The sequence below is a fragment of the Homo sapiens genome, chromosome 7 (assembly GCF_000001405.40).
Source record: "Homo sapiens chromosome 7, GRCh38.p14 Primary Assembly".
Classification (NCBI taxonomy): Eukaryota; Metazoa; Chordata; class Mammalia; order Primates; family Hominidae; genus Homo; species Homo sapiens.
In genome coordinates, this window is record NC_000007.14 from 7,894,450 (window position 1) to 7,914,449 (window position 20,000).

General features: G+C 37.6%; 1 long non-coding RNA gene and 2 pseudogenes across 2 annotated transcripts in view; 1 reads left to right on the top strand and 2 right to left on the bottom strand.

Annotated features, from left to right (window-relative positions):
- Positions 1-20,000, bottom strand: part of LOC124901586 (uncharacterized) — a 52,554-nt gene that overhangs the window by 23,782 nt on the left and 8,772 nt on the right. For both annotated transcript variants that reach the window (XR_007060206.1, XR_007060205.1), the window contains one exon: positions 12,783-12,828. This is a non-coding gene — a long non-coding RNA (uncharacterized LOC124901586). The remainder of the gene's footprint in view (positions 1-12,782; positions 12,829-20,000) is intronic.
- RNU6-534P (RNA, U6 small nuclear 534, pseudogene) lies at positions 12,070-12,175 on the top strand (annotated as a pseudogene).
- CCNB2P1 (cyclin B2 pseudogene 1) lies at positions 14,678-16,006 on the bottom strand (annotated as a pseudogene).

Here is a 20,000-nt window from a genome sequence, read left to right on the forward strand (position 1 = left end):
TAAGTAGATCCTAACTTGTATATAGAACTTTCTAGGGCTTGTCCAATTGAAGCTCTGTGGGTACATTTCTAGTAAGCCTTTCATTTCTCTCTAATAACAATGATCTTTGCCCACTGGTTTTCAATTCAAAAGGGGAAAGAAGCCTATTTGCCATTCCAAGACTAAAGATATATTTGCTTTCCTAAAGTTGTTATTCTCTCATCTAACTTGAAACATACAGAAAGTCTAAAAAAGGTGATACCACTAAACCTAATCAAAGAGGAAATTCCCTGCCACTTTTAAAATCCCTACATCTTCTGTATCTGCTCTGAATTCAGTCTGCCTTATAATTCAAGATTCAACTAGTTCAAAGAACTCACTCTGTCATAACATTACATAGTATTAAAGTAGAAATATGAGATTTTTTTCACAGCGTATTGTCATGCTTATAGTACATTTTATCTACTGGAGTAATCTAATAACTTCATACTCTCTTAAACACAGCTTCTTGTAAGCACATTAAAACCTATCCTAGGAAGCCCTTCCAAAGGAAGTGACAGCAAAATTCCCCAAAATGTTGCCTGCTTGGAAAGTTACCTAAAAGTTTAGTTCTGAGGAAGTTGACATTGAGTGTTTCTTGGTTTGTACCGTGCTCCTCTCTAGAGGCTGCCCCGTGTGCATAGCTGGCAGAGAGGGACATGGACAGGCATTAGAAGCAGCTCCAGCCAGTCAGAATTGGAGGTCTTGATGGCATTGGAGCTGGAGTTGGGGGGAGCAGTGAGAAAAGGAAGCAGAAACTGTGGTTGATTTCATGCTCCTCTGGCTTGCCTCTCTTACCCTAGGCACAGCCCAGAGATGCTCTGGCAGGGGTGGGAGGCAGCTGGATAGATTAAGAAAGGGCTTTTGTCCCTGCGATTCTCTAACAGACCATATTTGAGATGACAGATGCAAAATAAACAGGCATGACTTTAGACAGGTCCAGAATGGTCTTAATATCCTGAAGCTTATTCTTATTCAAACTTCGCGTTTTAATTGTTTGGAATTCTTAGACAGAGTAGGTGGAATTTCATCCTTTGTATGTTTTAAGGAGAGCTTCGCTCCTCTCTTTACCACCCACCCCCCGCCACCCAGTAAAATACTGAACTTTCATTTTAATCCATAACACTAAATGCTTTTGTGTTTTTCTTTCTTCAAAGACTGTCATTAAGAATGTCTACAAGGAAATCATGGGAAATGACAAAATCTCCCCCAGATTGATTTTTTACGTGTTGTTGGAAATAACCACATAACTAAAAAAAAAAAATGCTCATTCTGGGAAAAAAATCTGTCCAAGGATGTGGAAAACCTCAGCATTAAAAATAATATCCTAAGTAATCCAAAAGGGAAATTAACTTTCACTTTGAAGGCGTTCACTAGCACAAACACTAAAATAATGAGTAAACTGTCTCTCCTGAGAAAATGCCAGCTGTCACCTGCTGCCTCCCACTGGGCTCCAGGTCTAACAAGCCTCGCTCCCTGCCCTAACTTGTGACTCTGTGTCAGGAGACTTTTCTGAAGGACATTTTTTCAAGCAATTAGAAACAATCTACTGTGGGCCAGGCACGGTGGCTCATGCCTATAATCCCAGCACTTTGGGAGGCCAAGGTGAGCAGATCACCTGAGGTCAGGAGTTCGAGACCAGCTTGGCCAACATGGTGAAACCCTGTCTCTTCCAAACACACACACACACACACACACACACACACACACAAATCAGCCGGGCATGGTGGTGTGCACCTGTAGTCCCAACTACCTGGGGGCTGAGGCAGGAAAATCTGTTGAACCTGGGAAGAAGAGGTTGCAGTGAGCCAAGATTGTGCCACTGCACTCCAGCCTGGGAGACAGAACAAGACTCCATCTCAGAAAAAAAAAAAAAAAAAAAAAGGCCGGGCGCGGTGGCTCACACCTGTAATCCTAACACTTTGCGAGGCCGAAGCGGGTGGATCACCTGAGGTCAGGAGTTCGAGATCAGCCTGGCCAACATGGTGAAACCTCATCTCTACTAAAAATACAAAAAATTAGCGGGGCATGGTGCTGTGCACCTGTATTGCCAGTTACTCGGGAGGCTGAGGCAGGAGAATCACTTGAACCCGGGAGGCGGAGGTTGCAGTGAGCCGAGATAGCGCCACTGCACTCCAGCCTGGGTGACAAGAGCGAAACTCTGTCTCAAAAAAAAAAAGAAACAATCTATTGTGTTATTAAACACCAACTTCTCTTATTGTCAAATCACTCAGAATTGGCCAATTTCCCTATTAAGTAAAACTGTCATTGTTATTAAAACATAATAGCAATGCAAGGCACTGTGGAGTACAGAGGGTGTTTAAGTTGATGATGCATATTTTACGACCCTGCAGAGGGGCAAACATGTTCAGGTATCCATTCACACCCACAAACAGTGAGTAGTCTCCTAGGGGGTGGGTTTGTTGAAAATTTCAGAGATCACCTAGGGTCTATGAAATATATCAATAATTTCACTTTTAAATTGTATAGTAGATTTACAGGTATATGTAATATAAGTAATTTAATTATTCATTGTGTATAATGTGACACATTATCATATAAAAGCTAAAAGTTAGAAAAAACAAAGGTCCTGAGCAATATCTTGAGTGTATAATCATTTATTGGAAAATTAGAAGTTGATTTGTGAATGCCATTGTACAGGCTTGACTTGTTGAAACCACCCTCTTCCATGTTACCCTCCACCGAGATTGACATATCTTAGTGTCTTCCACACTTCACAGGGTGACACAGGTTCTGCCACTCAACGCTCACTTCGACCCTCGCCCATAAAATTCCTAAACAGCTTCATCTGTTAGTGGTTTTCAAGAGTAGTAGCATATGTGGACCATGCTGTAATAATCTCCGAAAGACAGATTTGTTAAAGGTTCACAAATGCTTAAGCACAACTATATTCAAACTAATGTTACATTAGACTAAAACAATATCTGCTTTTGAGAAGTGGAGCTACATGCTGGAAGTTTTTTACGAGTAGAGGCTGAGCTGAAAGGGATGGAGAATGAAAACTGAACAGGAGAGAAAATCAAAGGAGAAAAAAAAGTAACTACATTATCTTCCCTTGCATGTTAACATGGAAATAACAAAGACACTGAAACATTCTTGGAGAATTTTAAGAAGGGGTGTATATGGCCAAGTCACCTGAAAAGAACTTTAAGAAACATCTGTCTCCACCCTCAACCCTCAAAACATCTAAAATTAACTTTAGGACATAAACCCAATTACTTTAAAAATACGTTTCCTAGACTTAAGCTGTAAAGTTTAAGTGTTCTCACCACAAAAAAATGTTAAGTATGTAAGGTAATACATATGTTAATTAGCTCCATGTAGCCAATTCGCAGTATATATGTATTTCAGGACATTATATTGTACATGATAAATTTATATAATTTTTGCCTGTTAAAATAAATAACCAAAATAAAATATATCTAAGCAAAGCTAATAAAATAGAAATTACCAGATAGTATTTAAGAAAACCCAAGGTCGCTACTAGTGGCTATGTATAACTTCATGGAGTGCTGGCATATCCAACGGTGTGTTTGTAATCTTTTCCTCTCAGGTTCTCTGATAGCAAGATTCTCTAAATTGAAATGACTGCTTTACTGATTGCCTCTAGTTTTCCCCCTTGTTCTCCCTGAACTATATTAACTTTGTGCTATGTTAGTGACTGTGTATGTTGACAGATTTCCTAGAGAACTGCTGATGAATACTGCCCACAAGAAATCTCACTTTTCCTTTTCATTGACGTATTTGTGTAATTTATAATTCTAACCCATGAGTTAATTCAATGCAGAGATTATTTAAAAGACTACTTGAGACATAGTGTATAGCTAATCCAGGTCCTCATAATCTTTACCAGAAGTTATTTGCTCTTGTGCATAATTGAAAACAAATGTTCTGTGTTGTGTACAATTATTTTGATCTTAAAGGCTATGCTTCGTAGAAAAAGAGAAGGTTAGGATTCTGTAGTTTCCCTTAGTGCTTTCAAGGTATCTTCTTTATAGTCATACTTATCTATATATTAAATTATAATAGTTTATATATAGGCTTGAGTTTATGTATGTATATGATTGTACATGGATATATGTATCTAGATTTGGGAATGCATAGACTTAAAAATAAAATTGTAGACCTTGTCATAACTTAAAATATTACAGATGGAATTTAACATAACATGTCTTTTAAAATCAGGTCTAAAGATTATTAGAAGGATTTGTTGCAAAAACTACCGGATTGGACATAAAACATGGTTTCCAGTCTTCCTTTGTTATGAAATGAGTGAGTCACTTAGCCTATTTGGGCCCCAGTACTTATTTTTAAATTGAAAATACAAAAATAATTGTAGATACTTGACCCTTTAAATGATAATGTGCTGAGAAAACAGGCAGAATGGTCAGCACATTTATTTTATTTCTTGAATTTCACAGATGAAGAATAGCACTTTCACTTACAGCAGCAATGGCAGACAAGACACTCTGTACTCGAAACCAATTATATCCGAAATAAAACATTCTGGTTTGCTGCTGGACTTCCTGGAAGTGGGTAAAACCATCTGTAAGTCCAACCTCTCCTCCCCTCCAAAAAATAAAAAGGAACAAATTGAGACAATGTTGGAGCTTAGAGCCATGAGCAGATAAATGTCCTGAGCAAGAAGCAAGGGAGAGAAACTGTGATTATATTGAGGGGAAATGCCAATAGAAGCACTGTAAATTGCAACCGGGATACTGAGCTTGGGGTCAACAGCAAGGAAAAGGAACTGAATCTGAGATTTTGCATTAACCCAGGTCCCTCAAAGAGTAGTAAATGGCCCCAGGTTAGTAGTCCTCCCACCTACTTGCAGAAACACACCAAATCACCATAGGAAAGAATCTTACGGATATTTCATCAGATTCCCACAATGTATAATCAGATAAGTATTAGTTCACAACCAAAGACATGAAGCGACAAGAGGAAATAAGCCATCTATATTAGAACTGTTAGACATAGAAATGCTGTTTATGAAGTACTTAAAAAGTAAAATATAGGATCAAAATAGTGAGCAAACAACAGAAAATTATCAGGAATAATCAGGCAATTCTTACAAATAACACAATGGAATGTCTACATAAAATACGTAAACATTGAAAGAAAACACAAGACATGTTAAAAAGCAGACTAGCCACAGATGAAAAGAGAATTAATGAATTTGTAGGTTGAAGTGAATAAATTAACCAGAATATAATCTTGAAAGAAAAAGGGCCAGAAGAAGTTAGAATAATTTAAAATGTTGAGGATAAAATAAGAAGGTCTAACATAAGTCAAATCAGAGTCGCAGAAGAAAAGAATTAAGTCAACCAAGAAGTGATAATAAAATTAATCAAGGAGAAGTGTTCAGAAATGCTGAAAGCTGTGAATCCCCAGTTTCATAAAGGACAGTATTCCCAAGCAAGACGAAAAAGAAAACCAATAGCTGGCATAGTGGTGGCTCTCTAGAGAAACAAGGCAAAAATGTTTAAAAGAGCCAGAGAGTAAAGACACATCACATACCAAGAAATGATCATTTCATTGGCAGCAGAGTGCTCAACAGTGATACCAGAAAACAGAAAGCAGTGGAATAATAAAGTGTTGAGAGCAAATAGCTATTATCTATCAATCATGAGAGTAAAAGGCATTTGCCGTTAAACAAAAATGGAGAATTTACCATCGGTAGACTCACACTGTATTAATAGTCTGTTCTCATGCTGCTAATAAAGACATACCTGAGACTGAGTATTCTATAAAGAAAAAGAGGTTTCATGGACTTGCAGTTCCACGTGGCTGGGGAGGCCTCACAATCATGGCAGAAGGCGAAGGAGGAGCAAAGGCATGTCTCACATGGCAGCAGTCAAGAGGATGTGTGCAGGGGAACTGCCTTTATAAAACCATCAGATCTTGTGAGACTTATTCACTATCATGAGAAAAGCACAGGAACAACCTGCCTCCATGATTCAATTATCTCCCACTGGGTCCCTCCCATGACATGTAGGAATTATAGGAGCTACAGTTCAAGATGAGATTTGGATGGGAACACAGCCAAACTGTATCAAACACTAAAGGTTATTCCTTAGGAAGATGGTATTTTGGGGCTGGGCACAGTGGCTCACGCCTGTAATCCCAGCACTTTGGGAGGCTGAGGCGGGTGGATCACTTGAGGTCAGAAGTTCAAGACCAGTCTGGCCAACATGATGAAACCCTGTCTCTACTAAAAATACAAAAATTAGCCGGGTATGGTAGCATATGCCTGTAATCCCAGCTACTCGGGAGGCTGAGGCAGGAGAATCTCTTGAACTTGGGAGGTGGAGGTTGCAGTGAGCTGAGATCGCACCACTGCACTCCAGTCTGGGCAAAAAGAGCGAGACTCCATCTCAGAAAAAATAAAATAAAAAGAAAGATTATATTTTTGACAAAAATTCAGTTAAGGTAAAAGTCAATAGCAAAATTATATTTTTACAGTCCTCACATCTTTGGAAATAGAATACTTAATTATTCATTGCTCAATTAAGAAATCATAATGAATTTTTAAAAATACTTAAAGCCAAATTGTAATGAAAATGTAACATGTCAAAACCAGTATTTTTGAGGGCAGTCTATCAACCATAAATACATACATTAGAAAGAAAGAAGTCTGAAAATGAACTAAGCACCATCATAAGTATTTGGAAAAGAATAAAAAAAATAAAAAGGAAGCAGAATCCCCTAAGTTGAAAATGATATTACAAAAGAAAAAATTATGAAGATAAAATTTAGCTTTTTGAAAAGACTCATAAAATAGACAATCTTTTGCTAAGACTGAGAAAAGAGTACACATAATGTAAGGATTAAGAGAGAATATAAATATAGCTATAGCACAGATTGAAAAGAAAATACGATGGGCAATGTTAAGCCAATAAATTGAAGGTGAAGTGAAATAATCTTTAGAAAAATAGAATTTACCAAAGCTGAATTAGGAATTAAGAAACTTTAATGATTCTATAACTTTTTTTTTTTTTTTTAAGACAGAGTCTCGCTCTGTCACCCAGGCAGGAGTGCAGTGGCGCAATCTCAGCTCACTGCAACCTCCACCTCCTGGGTTCAAGCGATTCTCCTGCCTCAGCCTCCTGAGTAGTTGGGATTGCAGATGCATGCCACCACGCCCAGCTAATTTTTTATTTTTAGTAGAGACAGGGTTTTACCACGTTGATAAGGCTGGTCTCAAACTCCTGACCTCATGGTCCACCCGCCTCGGCCTCCCAAAGTGCTGGGATTACAGGCATGAGCCACCACTCCCGGCCGATTCTATAACTAGTAAAGCAACTGAATTAGTAGTTCAAAATTTCCTACAGGAAAGACCAAACCATTTAATTTTACAGGTGGAATTACTAAGCATTCAAGAGTTAATTTCTATCTTTTACAAACTTATACAGCAAAATGGAAAAGAACAAATACTCTCTAAATCATTCCATATAACCTGGACACCAAAAATAGACAAATACAGTTTAAAAAAATAAATTATAGGCCAATCTCACTCAAGACCCTAAATAAATTATACCAAATGGAATACAGTGGAGTTAAAGACAAAAAAAGGTGTATTTATCATGACCAACTTGGCTTTATCCCAGGAATGCAAGGGTAGTTTAACATTTAGAAATCTAGAATTGTGATTTACATAATAGATTAAAAGGGGAAACCCATATATAATCTCAATAGGAACAGAAAAACTTTGGATAAAGTTAACCACTGATTTAGTATAAAAAGTCTTAGCAAAGTATGAGTAAAAGAGAATTCTCTTTACATGAATGATGTTATCAGCCAAAACCTCAGTAAACATCATTCTTGATGAAAATCTAAAAACATTCCATGTAAAATCACAAATGGGATACGTTTGCTCACTATCATGTTTTTAATCACAATTAAAACCGAAGCTTCTAGCCAGATAATAACATGAGGAAAATAAATAAAGGCATAATGATTAGAAAGGTGCAAATAATTCTTCTATGCCAAGTTTGCTTTAAAAAAAAGAAAGAAAGAAAGGAACAAACAAACCCATAAATATTTGCAGATAATATGATAATATACAAAGAAAATCACAAAGAATCTAAAACTAACGTGATAGTAATTAACTTAGTAAGGTGTCAGGCCTAAAACCCATATACAGAAATTAGTTGCCTATTTTTGTGTTTGTTATGTTTTATTTTATATTTTGTTTGCTGTTTGCTTTGGGTAATAGTTTCAGAATAAGTAGGAAGCAGGAGGTCAGGGAGACATACTGAGTTGCTGAGACATCTGCAGAAACAGCACAGAGACTGGGAAACTGTTCTCCCAGTTTGCTTGGTACTGAGGGTTTCATAGGATGCAGGACTTTCAGGTTCAATACCATGACTATCCCAGTCTGCCTGGGACTGAGGGGCTCCCAGGATGCAGGACTGTCAGTGCTAAGACCAGAAGAGTCCTGCACAAACCAGGAGGAGGTGGTTACTCTGTGGGAGAACTGTAAGTAGTCCAGTGTCATTGCAACTTAAAATGCAGGGCAGGAAGTGGTGACAGACAAGACTGGGGAGAAAAGCAGGGACCAGATCACAAAGGGCCTGATGTTCCATACTAAAGGAACTTGTACCTTGTTCTCCAGGCAGCGGCAAGCTGTTGAAAGGTTTTAAGTGGGGAGATATGTGACGGTGACAGTTTGCATTTTAGTTAGACCACTTCAGTAGTAGTCTAGAGGCTGGATTTGAAGGGGCTCAGGCTGGAGGTAGGAGGTGGTTGCTATAGTCCAAGTAAAGATGATGAAGGCCCACACTAAGGGGCGGTAGGGATGGAGTGGAGGGGACAGTCCCAGGGACTACTTAAGAGGCAAAATTTGTAGAGTGACTGACTGGATGTGGGAGTGATAGACAAGAGTTGACAATGATCTCTGCCCTTCAGAAAAATGTTAGACAACATGTTGGCTAAATGAAAATACAGGCTGGGCATGGTAGCTCCTGCCTGTAATCCCAGCGCTTTGGGAGGCCAAGGCGGTCAGTTCATCTGAGGTCAGAAGTTCAAGATCAGCCTGGCCAGCATGGTGAACCCTGTCTCTACTGAAAATACAAAAATTAGCCGGGCATGATGGCACATACCTGTAATCCCAGCCACTCAGAAAGCTGAGGCAGGAGAATCGCTTGAACCTGGGAGGTGGAGGTTGCAGTGAGCCGAGATCGTGCCACTGCACTCCAGTCTGGGTGACAGTGAGACTGTATCTCAAAAAAAAAAGACAGAAAATATAGAAAGAGAAATATAACCAACACTCATATGTGCATCATCCAGTTTAAGGAATAAAATATTAAAGATACCATTGTATCCCCCTGCATATACCTGATCCCACTCCCCTGATACCACTTCCCCTTCCCTTCCCAGAAGTAACCCCTACATTACACTGATACTTCTAATCGCCATGACTTTCTATAAAATTCTGCTACAGAGATGTACATTGCTAAACAACCTATACTAATTGCAACGTTTTGCATTTTTCTAAACTTCATAGAAATTATAAGTATTAGTCTGTAACATGCAGTCTTCTCTCACCATTGTATATGAGATACAGCCCCTGCACAAGAGTTCTCTGAAAAGGAATGTGGAAGAAAGAGACTATATTCCAGTGAACAGTTTGCAAACTAGGGAGATGCAACCTTCAGTGTAAAATGAAGGTGCATTCCCCAACTGCTTTTCTAAACAGTGGTCATGGACAGTTTTAAAATGTAATATAAAAAAGGTAAAGTTTATAGTTACAACAAAAATGTACACATCAGTTGAGAAAAACCAATAGAAAATGATCAAAACACGGTAACAGGCATATCAAAGGAGAAAAGTGAATGGACAGTATATAAAAGGATGCTCATTCTCATCAGTAATAAAGGAAATACAAATTAAAACTGAAGTGAAGCACCATTTTTATACCCAGAATTGGCAAAAATTAAGAAATTGGACAATGTCAAGTGTTGGAAAGGATGGGGGTTAACAAGATCTCTTATATACCTTTGTCGGGAAGGTAAACTTGTATAATTGCTTCAGAAAACAATTTGGCCTTATCCAATAAATTTGAGAATGAATGTAACTTACTCCTAGATATATATCCTAGAGAAACTATTACCCATGGTTACCTAGGAACTTGTTCAGAGCAGCACAATTCACAAAAGAAAAAATAACTGGAAATGACTGAAATCTCCATCCTTTGACAGGAGACTAAATAAATTGTAGAATATTTACTTGGTGGAATATTATACAGTAGTAAAAATGAATGTTTTTGATGAATGGATAAGCAATATGTGGTGTAGCCATACAGTAGAATCATATTCAGCAATAAAAACTAATGAAGTACAGTCATGTGCTACATAGTGACGTTTCTGTCACAATGGACCACATATACAACAGTGGTCCGGGAGGATTATAGTACCATACTTTTACTGTACCTTTTCTATGTTTAGATACACAAATACTTACCATTGTGTTACAGTTGCCTACAATATTCAGTACAGTAATATGCTATACAGGTTTGTAGCCTAGGAGCAAATAGGCTATACCATATAGCCTACATGTGTAGTAGGCTATACCATCTAGGTTTTTGTAAGTATACTCTGTGATGTTTGCACAACAATGAAATTGCCTAACAATTTATTTCTCAGAACATATCCTTGTTCTTAAGTGATGCATGATTGTACTGATACATGCTGCAGCATGGAAGAACCTCAAAATGTTATTTTAAATGAAAGAAAATCACATATTGAATGATTCCATTTATATGAAATGCCTAAAAGAGGCAAATCAATAAAGACAGAAAGTCAGGCCAGGGGATAGGGAAGGAGGGGAGAGGGATACTGGGAATGACTGCCAATTGGCACAAGATTTCTTTTGGGGGTGATGAAAATACTCTGAAGGTAGAAGATGGTGATGAATACACAACTCTGTATATACACTGAAAGCCATTAAAATAGATACTTGAAACAGGTGAACTTGATGATTTAAATTATGTATCAGTAATGCTATTAAAAGTGAGTACTCTATAGTAACACAATGCAACATGAGTCTGTAAAAATTTAAATAGTAAGTTGAATGAAAAAAGTTCCAAAAGACAATATATGGTATTATACCATTTCTGTATAACTTAAAAATAAGCAAAATGAAATAATATTGTATATTTTTTAGGAATACATACTTACATGACAAAACCATATGGATATTGAAAGGAAGGATAACCATACAGGAAAGTTGCTGCCTCAGGGGGCGAAGAGGCACATGGGACAGAGGAGGAATCCACAGGTAGATGCAGTGCTATTGGGGATTCTTTTAGTTCTTCAGTTGAGTAATTATTTAAAAGCTGAAATCTTATTTTGATTATAATTTACATATTTTATATTTAATCTTGTATAGGTATCAAATATATTACATTTGAGATAATAAAGGGAAATGCTTTAAAAATAATAGTAGTATGGGTATACTAGCAAAAAACAAGTCACTTATGAAAGAGAAAATAAGATTGACCCCAGATGTCTCCACACCATCTTCCAAGCCAAAGACAATGCAGCAGTATCTACAAAGTTATGAGGAAGACAGTGAATGGCTTTAAAATTTTAAGCCCAAATTATCCTCCTAAGGATAAATGCAACAGATGGATAGTAAGCATTAAAGAATGTAAAGAAATAAGAATCCATGAGCCTTTTATAGAATAAAAATAAGTAAATTTAAAACTTTTGTATAATAAAATCTAGGCAACTAAGTAGACGAATCAAAGAGTATAAAAATGGAGAAGCCAGGCACAGAGAAGTTAGATGATGAACACCAAATTATTTAAAATAGAAATGAAGAGTAAACAGTGGTTTGAATTACGGTTTCAGAACAAGATGTAAATGTTAAAACCCCAGATGTTATGAAGAATAATATAACCAATAAAATGCATTTGGAAGAGGGAGAGAGGAGGAAGAAAGTGAAATGATGTCTCTTTTATCAAATTTCATAAGGAGGTTGTCAGATATTGTAAAAAATTGAAATATAATTTTTAAAATATGTTGATTGGTTTTGCAGCAGATATACTAAAATTGGAATGATACAGAGAAGACCAGCATAGCTCCTGCACACACAGGGTGATACACAAATTTGTGAAATATATTTTTCATTTAAAATGAATTAATCTTTTCCCCCTCTAAAATGTCATAGAAATAGTAAGTGCAGTAGGATATAACTATCAGTTGCCAATCCTAAATTTTCATATTCAATATCTAATAGATACGTTGCAAATTTTGTAATTTAAGATTTGTTTATAGATGTGCATATATTTACAGTATGAACTTTAAAATCATTTAAAAATGAATGGTGGTAAAATCTGTGAATTATGTGAAATAACTGTAATGTACATATATTTTTATTCTAATAAACTTTTGAATCCTAGATTGGATTTTATTAGAAAAAATAAAAATAAAACATACATTGACTCTTCCCCAGAGTCACTGGGGGAGCTATTGACATTTCGGTTGGGTATGTTTTGATGTCAGGTCTGTCAGGTACATAATAAGATGTTTGACATCTCTGGAGAATGCCAGGATCCTCATAATTGTGACAACCAAAAACATGTCCATGCATTTCTAGATGCACCCTAGGGAATTGGCACTGCCATGGATTGAGAACCACTGCTCTAACTTCTTACAGGTTTTCACATCTGTCCTATTACATTTAGAGCAATGTTAGAGAATTAAAATCTCTTAAAATCTCAAAAGGGAATCATTTACCTGAAATTCGTTCAGCTTCATGTTGGTGTCCTTTTCTCCTATTAAACTAAAATAAAAAATAAACTTAATACAGAATAAGCCTGTTTATAGAATGCAACAATTTTCATTAATAAAAAAGTATTTGTTGAAACAAGGAATCTGAAAAAATACACAGTTACTTTGCGTATTTTTATTGTGATAATATATGTGTAACACACAATTTACCATTTTAACCATTTTAACCATTTCAAAGTATACAGTTCCATGGGATTACTTACATTCACATTGTTGTGCAATCATCACCACTTTCCATCTCCAGCACTTTTTCATCTTCCCTGATATGGTTTGGCTGTGTCCCCCACCCAAATCTCACCTTGAATTGTAATAAACCCCATGTTTCAAGGGCGGGGCCAGGTGGAGATAATTGAATCATGGGAGCTGTTCCCTCATACTGTTCTCATGGTAGTGAATAAGTCTCATGAGATCTGATGGTTTTATAAATGGGAGTTCCCCTGCACAAGCTTTCTTGCCTGCTGCCATGTAAGACATGACTTAGCTCTTCCTTTGCCTGCCGCCATGATTGTGAGGCCTTCCCAGTCATGTGGAACTGTGAGTCAATTAAACCTCTTTCCTTTGTAAATTACCCAGTCTTGGCTATGTCTTTATTAGCAGTGTGAAAACAGAGTAATACATTCCCCAATGGCATATTTAACATGAATTATATATAGTCATTTGCCATTTGCCAATCTTTTAATTTGGGGCCAAGATCTTTTCTTTGAGAGTGGTCCCCTGATTGGAATTCCCCCTCACCATCTTTTTTGCATGAATTACCTACCACTCTCTAAGATTATCAGTTTTCAATTTTTAAAAAATGAAACAAGACACTTGGAAAGGAACTGAGTGTAGAATCCTCCTAGATTCCCCCAACCCCCTATGTGTCATGCATCATGCTCACAGCTATTTTGAAAGCAAACTAAAAAAAAAAAAAATTGAGAAGGATTCTCGCTGTGTTGCCCAGGCTGGTCTCAAACTTCTGGGCTCAAGCAATCCTCCTGCCTTGGCCTCCCAAAATGCTGGGATTATAGGCATGAGCCACTGCACCCACCCCGAAAGCAAATTTTTAATCACCCTATATTTATCCAGTCTTTCTAACATACTCAATCTAGTTTGTATGGAAACAAAAATTTGTTCTTTTTGCATTTATATTTTGTCAGTTTTCTTAACATTTATTTAAATTATATAATTAAAAAAAGTTTGGGTTCAAACACCCAAATTGAATCATGGAAAACTTCCAGCTGAACTGGTGGGGACAGAAGTATAGGGCATCTAAAGAGCTATCTGCTTGCACATTTAAAGTGAAGGGTGACACGGCATGATCTGGCAAGTCAGATATTATATTAACATAATAGATTGAAAATAGTATGTATACTTGGGATGGTTAATTTTATGTGTCAGTTTAGCTAGGCCACGGGGTGCCCAGATATTTGGTTAAACGTTAATCTTCTGTGTCTGTGACAGTGTTTTTTGATGAGGTTAATGCTTGAATAGGCAGACTGAGTAAAGCAAACTGCCTTCCATAATATGGGTGGGCCTCATCCTATCCTTTGAAGACAACATGAATAAAACAAAAAGACTCCGTAAGGGGGAACTCCTCCTGCCTGACTGCTTTGAGATGGGACACCAGTTTCTTTCTGGCTTTTGGACTTGAAACTGAAACATTGGCTGTTTTTTTAGTCTCCAGCCTGCTAAGTTTCAGATTGGAAATACATGTCACCTTCCCTGGGTCTCCAGCTTGCCAACTGCAGATCTTGGGATTTCTTGGCCTCCATAATTGCATGAGCCAATTCCTTATAATAAATCTCTTTTAGGATCTCTCTAGTAGGATAAATTGGTATATTGTTGTTTTTTTTTTTTTTTACCTTAAGAAAAACCAATAGCTTAATTTTTCCTCGATATATATTTAGAAAATTGGTCTGAGAAGAGTTTTCATGAAACAGACCAGAGAACTATGTATAAAATTAAGAGTTCTAACCCAGTAAGAAAAAGTGCAAAAATGAAGCACACATTCCCAGGGGCCACTGCAGCCTAGGACCCTCCCATCAGAGGGAAGGCAAGGTCTTTGATGGCTTTTGAGTTCAGCTGAGGGATCATGCTGATCTTCAGGAATTTGTTGCTTGCATACTTATTCTTGATGGCGATGAATTTAGTTAAGTTTTCATTTACTTTCAGCACATTTTTGGCCACGTGCTGCATGACTTCCAATACTTCATTCTGTGTGTATCCTGTATAACACTGCTGCTTTAAGTTCCATTTTCCTTGGCCCAGAACCTTCTGAGACAAGCAGGAAGCAGCTGTTGCTGCCTTAGAAGGATGATAATGCATCATATCGTAGTCAATGAGAGTCAGCTCCATCAAATATTTGGCTAAAGTGTGCTGTTCAACATCAGCCTTCCCGGCTTTTGATGCTTGCCTTAAGAAGTGTAGTGGCAAGGGTCCACCCACCTCAAATTTCAGTTCTTTCAAAATTAGTTTCCATTTCTTGGATTTGGAAACTAGTATAAGCATTGTCTGTGATGTAAACAAAGCCTTCAGTATTTGGAGAAAACATCTCCTCATACTTGGAAGCCAAGAGCAGAGCAGTAATCCAAACTAGTTGAAGCTTCCTCTGGGAAACTGGCTGAACCAGTAAAGATCAATCCATAATGGCAACACACACATACAGAGTCTCCTGAAGAAGCCTAAACTTGGAGTGGATTTGCACCAACCAGTCTACCAGGATGGTATGCTTATGTCCATTTACATCTCATCCACCTAAGACATGTGGGTTTATGAACTGCAAAATCTCCAGCTGCCTGAGGTACTGATAGATACCCTTAAATAGTCACTGCAGAGCTGAGGGTTATTCCAATCTTTGTTATCAATATCCTCAATTTTGTAGAGCAAAGCATCAGAAAAAGCTCGGCAGATGTTCTCTTCTTTCACGGAGGCATCCTCAGGTATGGGAGAAGGACCCTTTGGAGCCAACATTTCCATCTGTACTGTTTCACAGAAGCAGTAGGTTTCAGTTGTTTGTTGACATTTGTTGTTTCCCTGGGTTGAACTGGCACTTTGGTGTTCTGAGCTTTCTTAGCTACTTGTGCTGCTCTGGCTGTAACTCTATTTCCAATTTATTCTAAAATGGAATGCCTAATAGTCACATGACTCTTAGGTTTAGAATTAACTCCTGTCTCTCTGTCTCTGCATATACCCATTTACCCTATTGGTTCTGTCTCTTTGGAGAGTCCTAATAGAATACCTGACAACTAAATGCAATGTGGATCTTGGGACAGAAAGAGGACATTAGTAGAAAAACTGGTGAAATTTAAAAAGAGCCTGGAATTTAGTTAATAGTAATGTACCAGTGTTGGTTTCTTAGTTGTAACAAATGTACCATAGTAATGTAAGATGTTAGCAATAGAGGAAGTTGGTTGAGAGCTCTAGAACGCTCTGTATTATCTTTGCAACCTTTCCATAAACCTAAAATTATTCAAAAATAAAAATTTTGTTTTAAAAAATAGCATGTACCATACAATCTCTCTCTCTGAAACTGCTCCTAATTGTCTAGCTTTCTATTTGTATTTATGGATTCTATTCACCAAATGTTAGTAATCTTTACTTTGGGAAGTAATTTACTTCTTTCTTTGTGCTTTTCTGTATTGTTTGAATTTTAAAAATATATATATATATATATTACTAAAATAGTGAAGTCATTTTTTAAAACATTGGAGGCTGTTTTGAAAAGATGACTTCTAAAAATCTTCCAGAAAACTCTATGATCTTTGATTTGGTGTTATTTTTTTAATAGCACTGTCTCACCTATAACATTCTCCTTAGGCACCCAAAAATGATTTTATGATGAGGCTCCAAGATTGATACTCTGTGGCAGGACTTGAAAAATGACCAGGTTGTGTTACCATAAGAACATGTTCCTGTTTTGTTTTGTTTTCTTTTTTATTTTTCTAGTTCATTAAGGCTGCTATAACAGAATACCATAAACGACAGAAATTTATTTCTTACAGTTCTGGAGGCTGGGAAGGCCAACATCAAGGCACCAGCAGATTCAGTGTCTGGTGAGGGCCTGTTCCCTGGTTTATAGATAGCTGCATTCTCACCCTTACATGGTGGAAGGGGCAAATGAATTATCTGGGGTCTCTTATTCATAAGGACACTAATCCCCTTCATGAGGGCTCTTACCTCATGGCCTAATCACCTCTCAAAGGCCATGTCTCCTGATACCATCACATTGTGGGTTAGGATTTCAACATAAGAATGGGGTTGGGTGGGGAAGCAAACATTCTTTAAATAGCACCGACCCATACATAGCTTAATGGTTTATGTCAGTGTGTTACTATAGCTATTTGCTGGCGATAAGCATCGTAAGGAAATGAAAGGCTTTTGGTTGCAATTCTCCTGTGGTTCTGTCCAGTGAAGCAATGAGTCAGGGATTTTTATCTCCAAATCAAAGCAGAGCTCACCTTTTAGTAATTGGAGGAATTAAAAGAACAAATTTCCTAAATGTTCTATGTTCTAGTACAAATAAAATTTTTTAATACTCTGTTTATCCTCATATCTTCTATTTTCTTTGTTCTCTTCATCTTGTCTCTATGTCTCCTGATGTCCAACCTCTCTCTTTTGATCCTTTTTTCTTTTGAGTCAGGGTCTCACTCTGTCACCCAGGCTGGAGTGCAGTGACGACATGATGGCTTACTGTGACCTCAACCTCCTGGACTCAAGCCATCCTCCCACCTCAGCCTCCCAAGCAGCTGGTACCACAGGCACACACCACTAAGCCCAGCTAATTTTTTTATTTTTTGTAGAGACATTGTTCTGCCCTGTTGCCCAGGCTGGTCCAGAACTCCTCTAGGCTCAAATGATTCTCCTGTCTTGGCCTCCCAAAGTGCTGTGGTTACAGGAATGAGACACTGCGCCCAGCCTCCTTTGACTTAAAATATTAGGTCTATTGTAAATTCTCAAGGGAGCCATTTTTTTCTTTTTCCACTCTAATACTGTGAATTCTTTGCGGATGGAGAGACTGTTCTCTTCATTTCTGTTTCCCTTCACCTAGCACAGTCCTCACCCATCAAATCATGGAGGATTGTAGCCACAGCTGCAAATGGAACCCTGGAGTTTTCCAGTTCCTCCTACTCATTCAAGTTCTATGTCTCCCTTCTTCCCTTTGTTTTTCTTTCTCAGGTCCTTTTTCTTCTTGTAATGTAGTTATAGGCTTATCGCCTGTATTCTGTGCCTTCTGAATGTCCAGGCTCTAAGGTCATTCTGCTGATTATATGAGGCCAGGTCTTCCCTTTAACTTGTGCTTCTGTAAGGTAATAATCTAAGCTATACCAGTGGTTCTTAAACTCTAGCAGGCATTAGAATCACCTGGAGAGCTTGCTAAAACAGACTGCTGGGCCCACTCCTAGAGTTTCTTAATTAGTAGGTCTGGGATGGCACTGGAGAATTTGCATTTTTAACAAGTTTCTAGTAGATGCTGATGCAAATACTGATGCTGCTAGTCCAGGGACTACACTTCGTACATCGTGGATCTACATTCTACAGAATCATTGGCTGGGCTAGCTCCTCCTTTGCAAGGAGGCAAAAAGAAATGCAGATGTTCAGTGTCTAGAACTTATCCATAAAGTAAAAATAATAGGAAGAATATACATGTTTTATTTTAAACCCAAGATATAAAGGCGTTTTTTCCCTTATAATGATTATTCTTCAAATCATCTCTATACACCATAAGTAAAGTTAAAAGTGCTAAAGGAGGAAAAACTATTGATATTTCTATCAGAACACATAAAAAGGTTAATTATGGCATGCACGTCTTAAAGATCTCCTTGCCATCTGAGCCATCTCCAGAAATACTTGCCATAGAACAGAAATAGAAATGATTATATGAGTAAATTATCACCCACACTCCTCGCATGCATCATTTCATACCACAAGCCTTTTCTCTTTTCAAGGAATAATGGTTTTACATTTTACTTTGTGATGGCACTCTAATTGCTAAATATAATAGGGGCATTATGCTACAAAGTTAAAAGACTCCAAGTGAAAAGATAAGTCAAATATAGTAATTTCACACAGCCAATGATTCTTCAAAGTATGCTTCTCTTTTTTTCCAGCTGTCTCCCAATTGTGAACTCTCACAGACTCATGAAAATTGAATACTAAGGCAGAGAAAAGCTAACAGGGATCCTAGAATATTTCTAGTCCAGGAGTCTGTAACTATGATCTACTGGCCAAATCTGGCCCACCACCTGTTTTCATAAATAAAATTTTATTGGAAAATAGGCATGCCCATTTTTATTGAGAAACAGCCGTACCCGTTGTTTACATATTCTGTGTGGCTGCTTTCGCACTATAATAACAGAGTTAAATAGTTGCAACACAGACCATGTGGTCCAAAGCTGAAAATATTTACTATCTTGACCTTTACCAAAAAAGTTTACTGACTCCTGCTGTAGTTCCAGCTACTCACTGGACAGATTAGAAACCTGTCTAGAGGGAGAGAGTTGGGGAGGGCAGGAGAGAATGGAGGGAGAGGTAGCTCAGGTTTCCACATTCAAATAGAAACAGGATTGCAGAATGTGAGGCTTCTCCCTAAGCAACTCCTGTAAGAGCTTTGGTCCACTGAAAGCCAGTCACAGCTGCCCTTCATGTATTAGTAGAGAAGGGGACACTGGAGTAAGTTTGTATCTCGTTATAATTTTCAAAGAACCTCTTCAAATGTCCACCCCAAAAAGAAGAGCAGTGAGACAGAAGTGTGCTTTGATGTTAGTCCAAAGTGTTATTTATGGCATTTATTTGCACACGTATACAAAAACACATTAGCAGCCTAACCTTTGGGGCTCATTTCTAATAATGAAAAAGTCCTTTTTCATTGATGAGGAAATCATTAGGATCATCTTGTCTTTCAGAAAGTATACTAGCATTCTGTCATGTAGTATTCTCCATAGTGCCCAAAGCTTTCAGGAGAATATGCCTTATAGTGGGAATTCTTATTTCTTCAAGTTATTAGTCACTAAATTGACAAAAGTATGTGAGTGTGTGTGTGTGTATGTTTACATTGCTATTTTACATAATTTATATATCCACGTCTAAAATAAAATGATATAGTGGTGCTAGGTGTTCCCTAATCTCTCTCATTTATATGTTAAAAATATATCTATTCTGTAAATGAACAGAAGCCCCAATTCC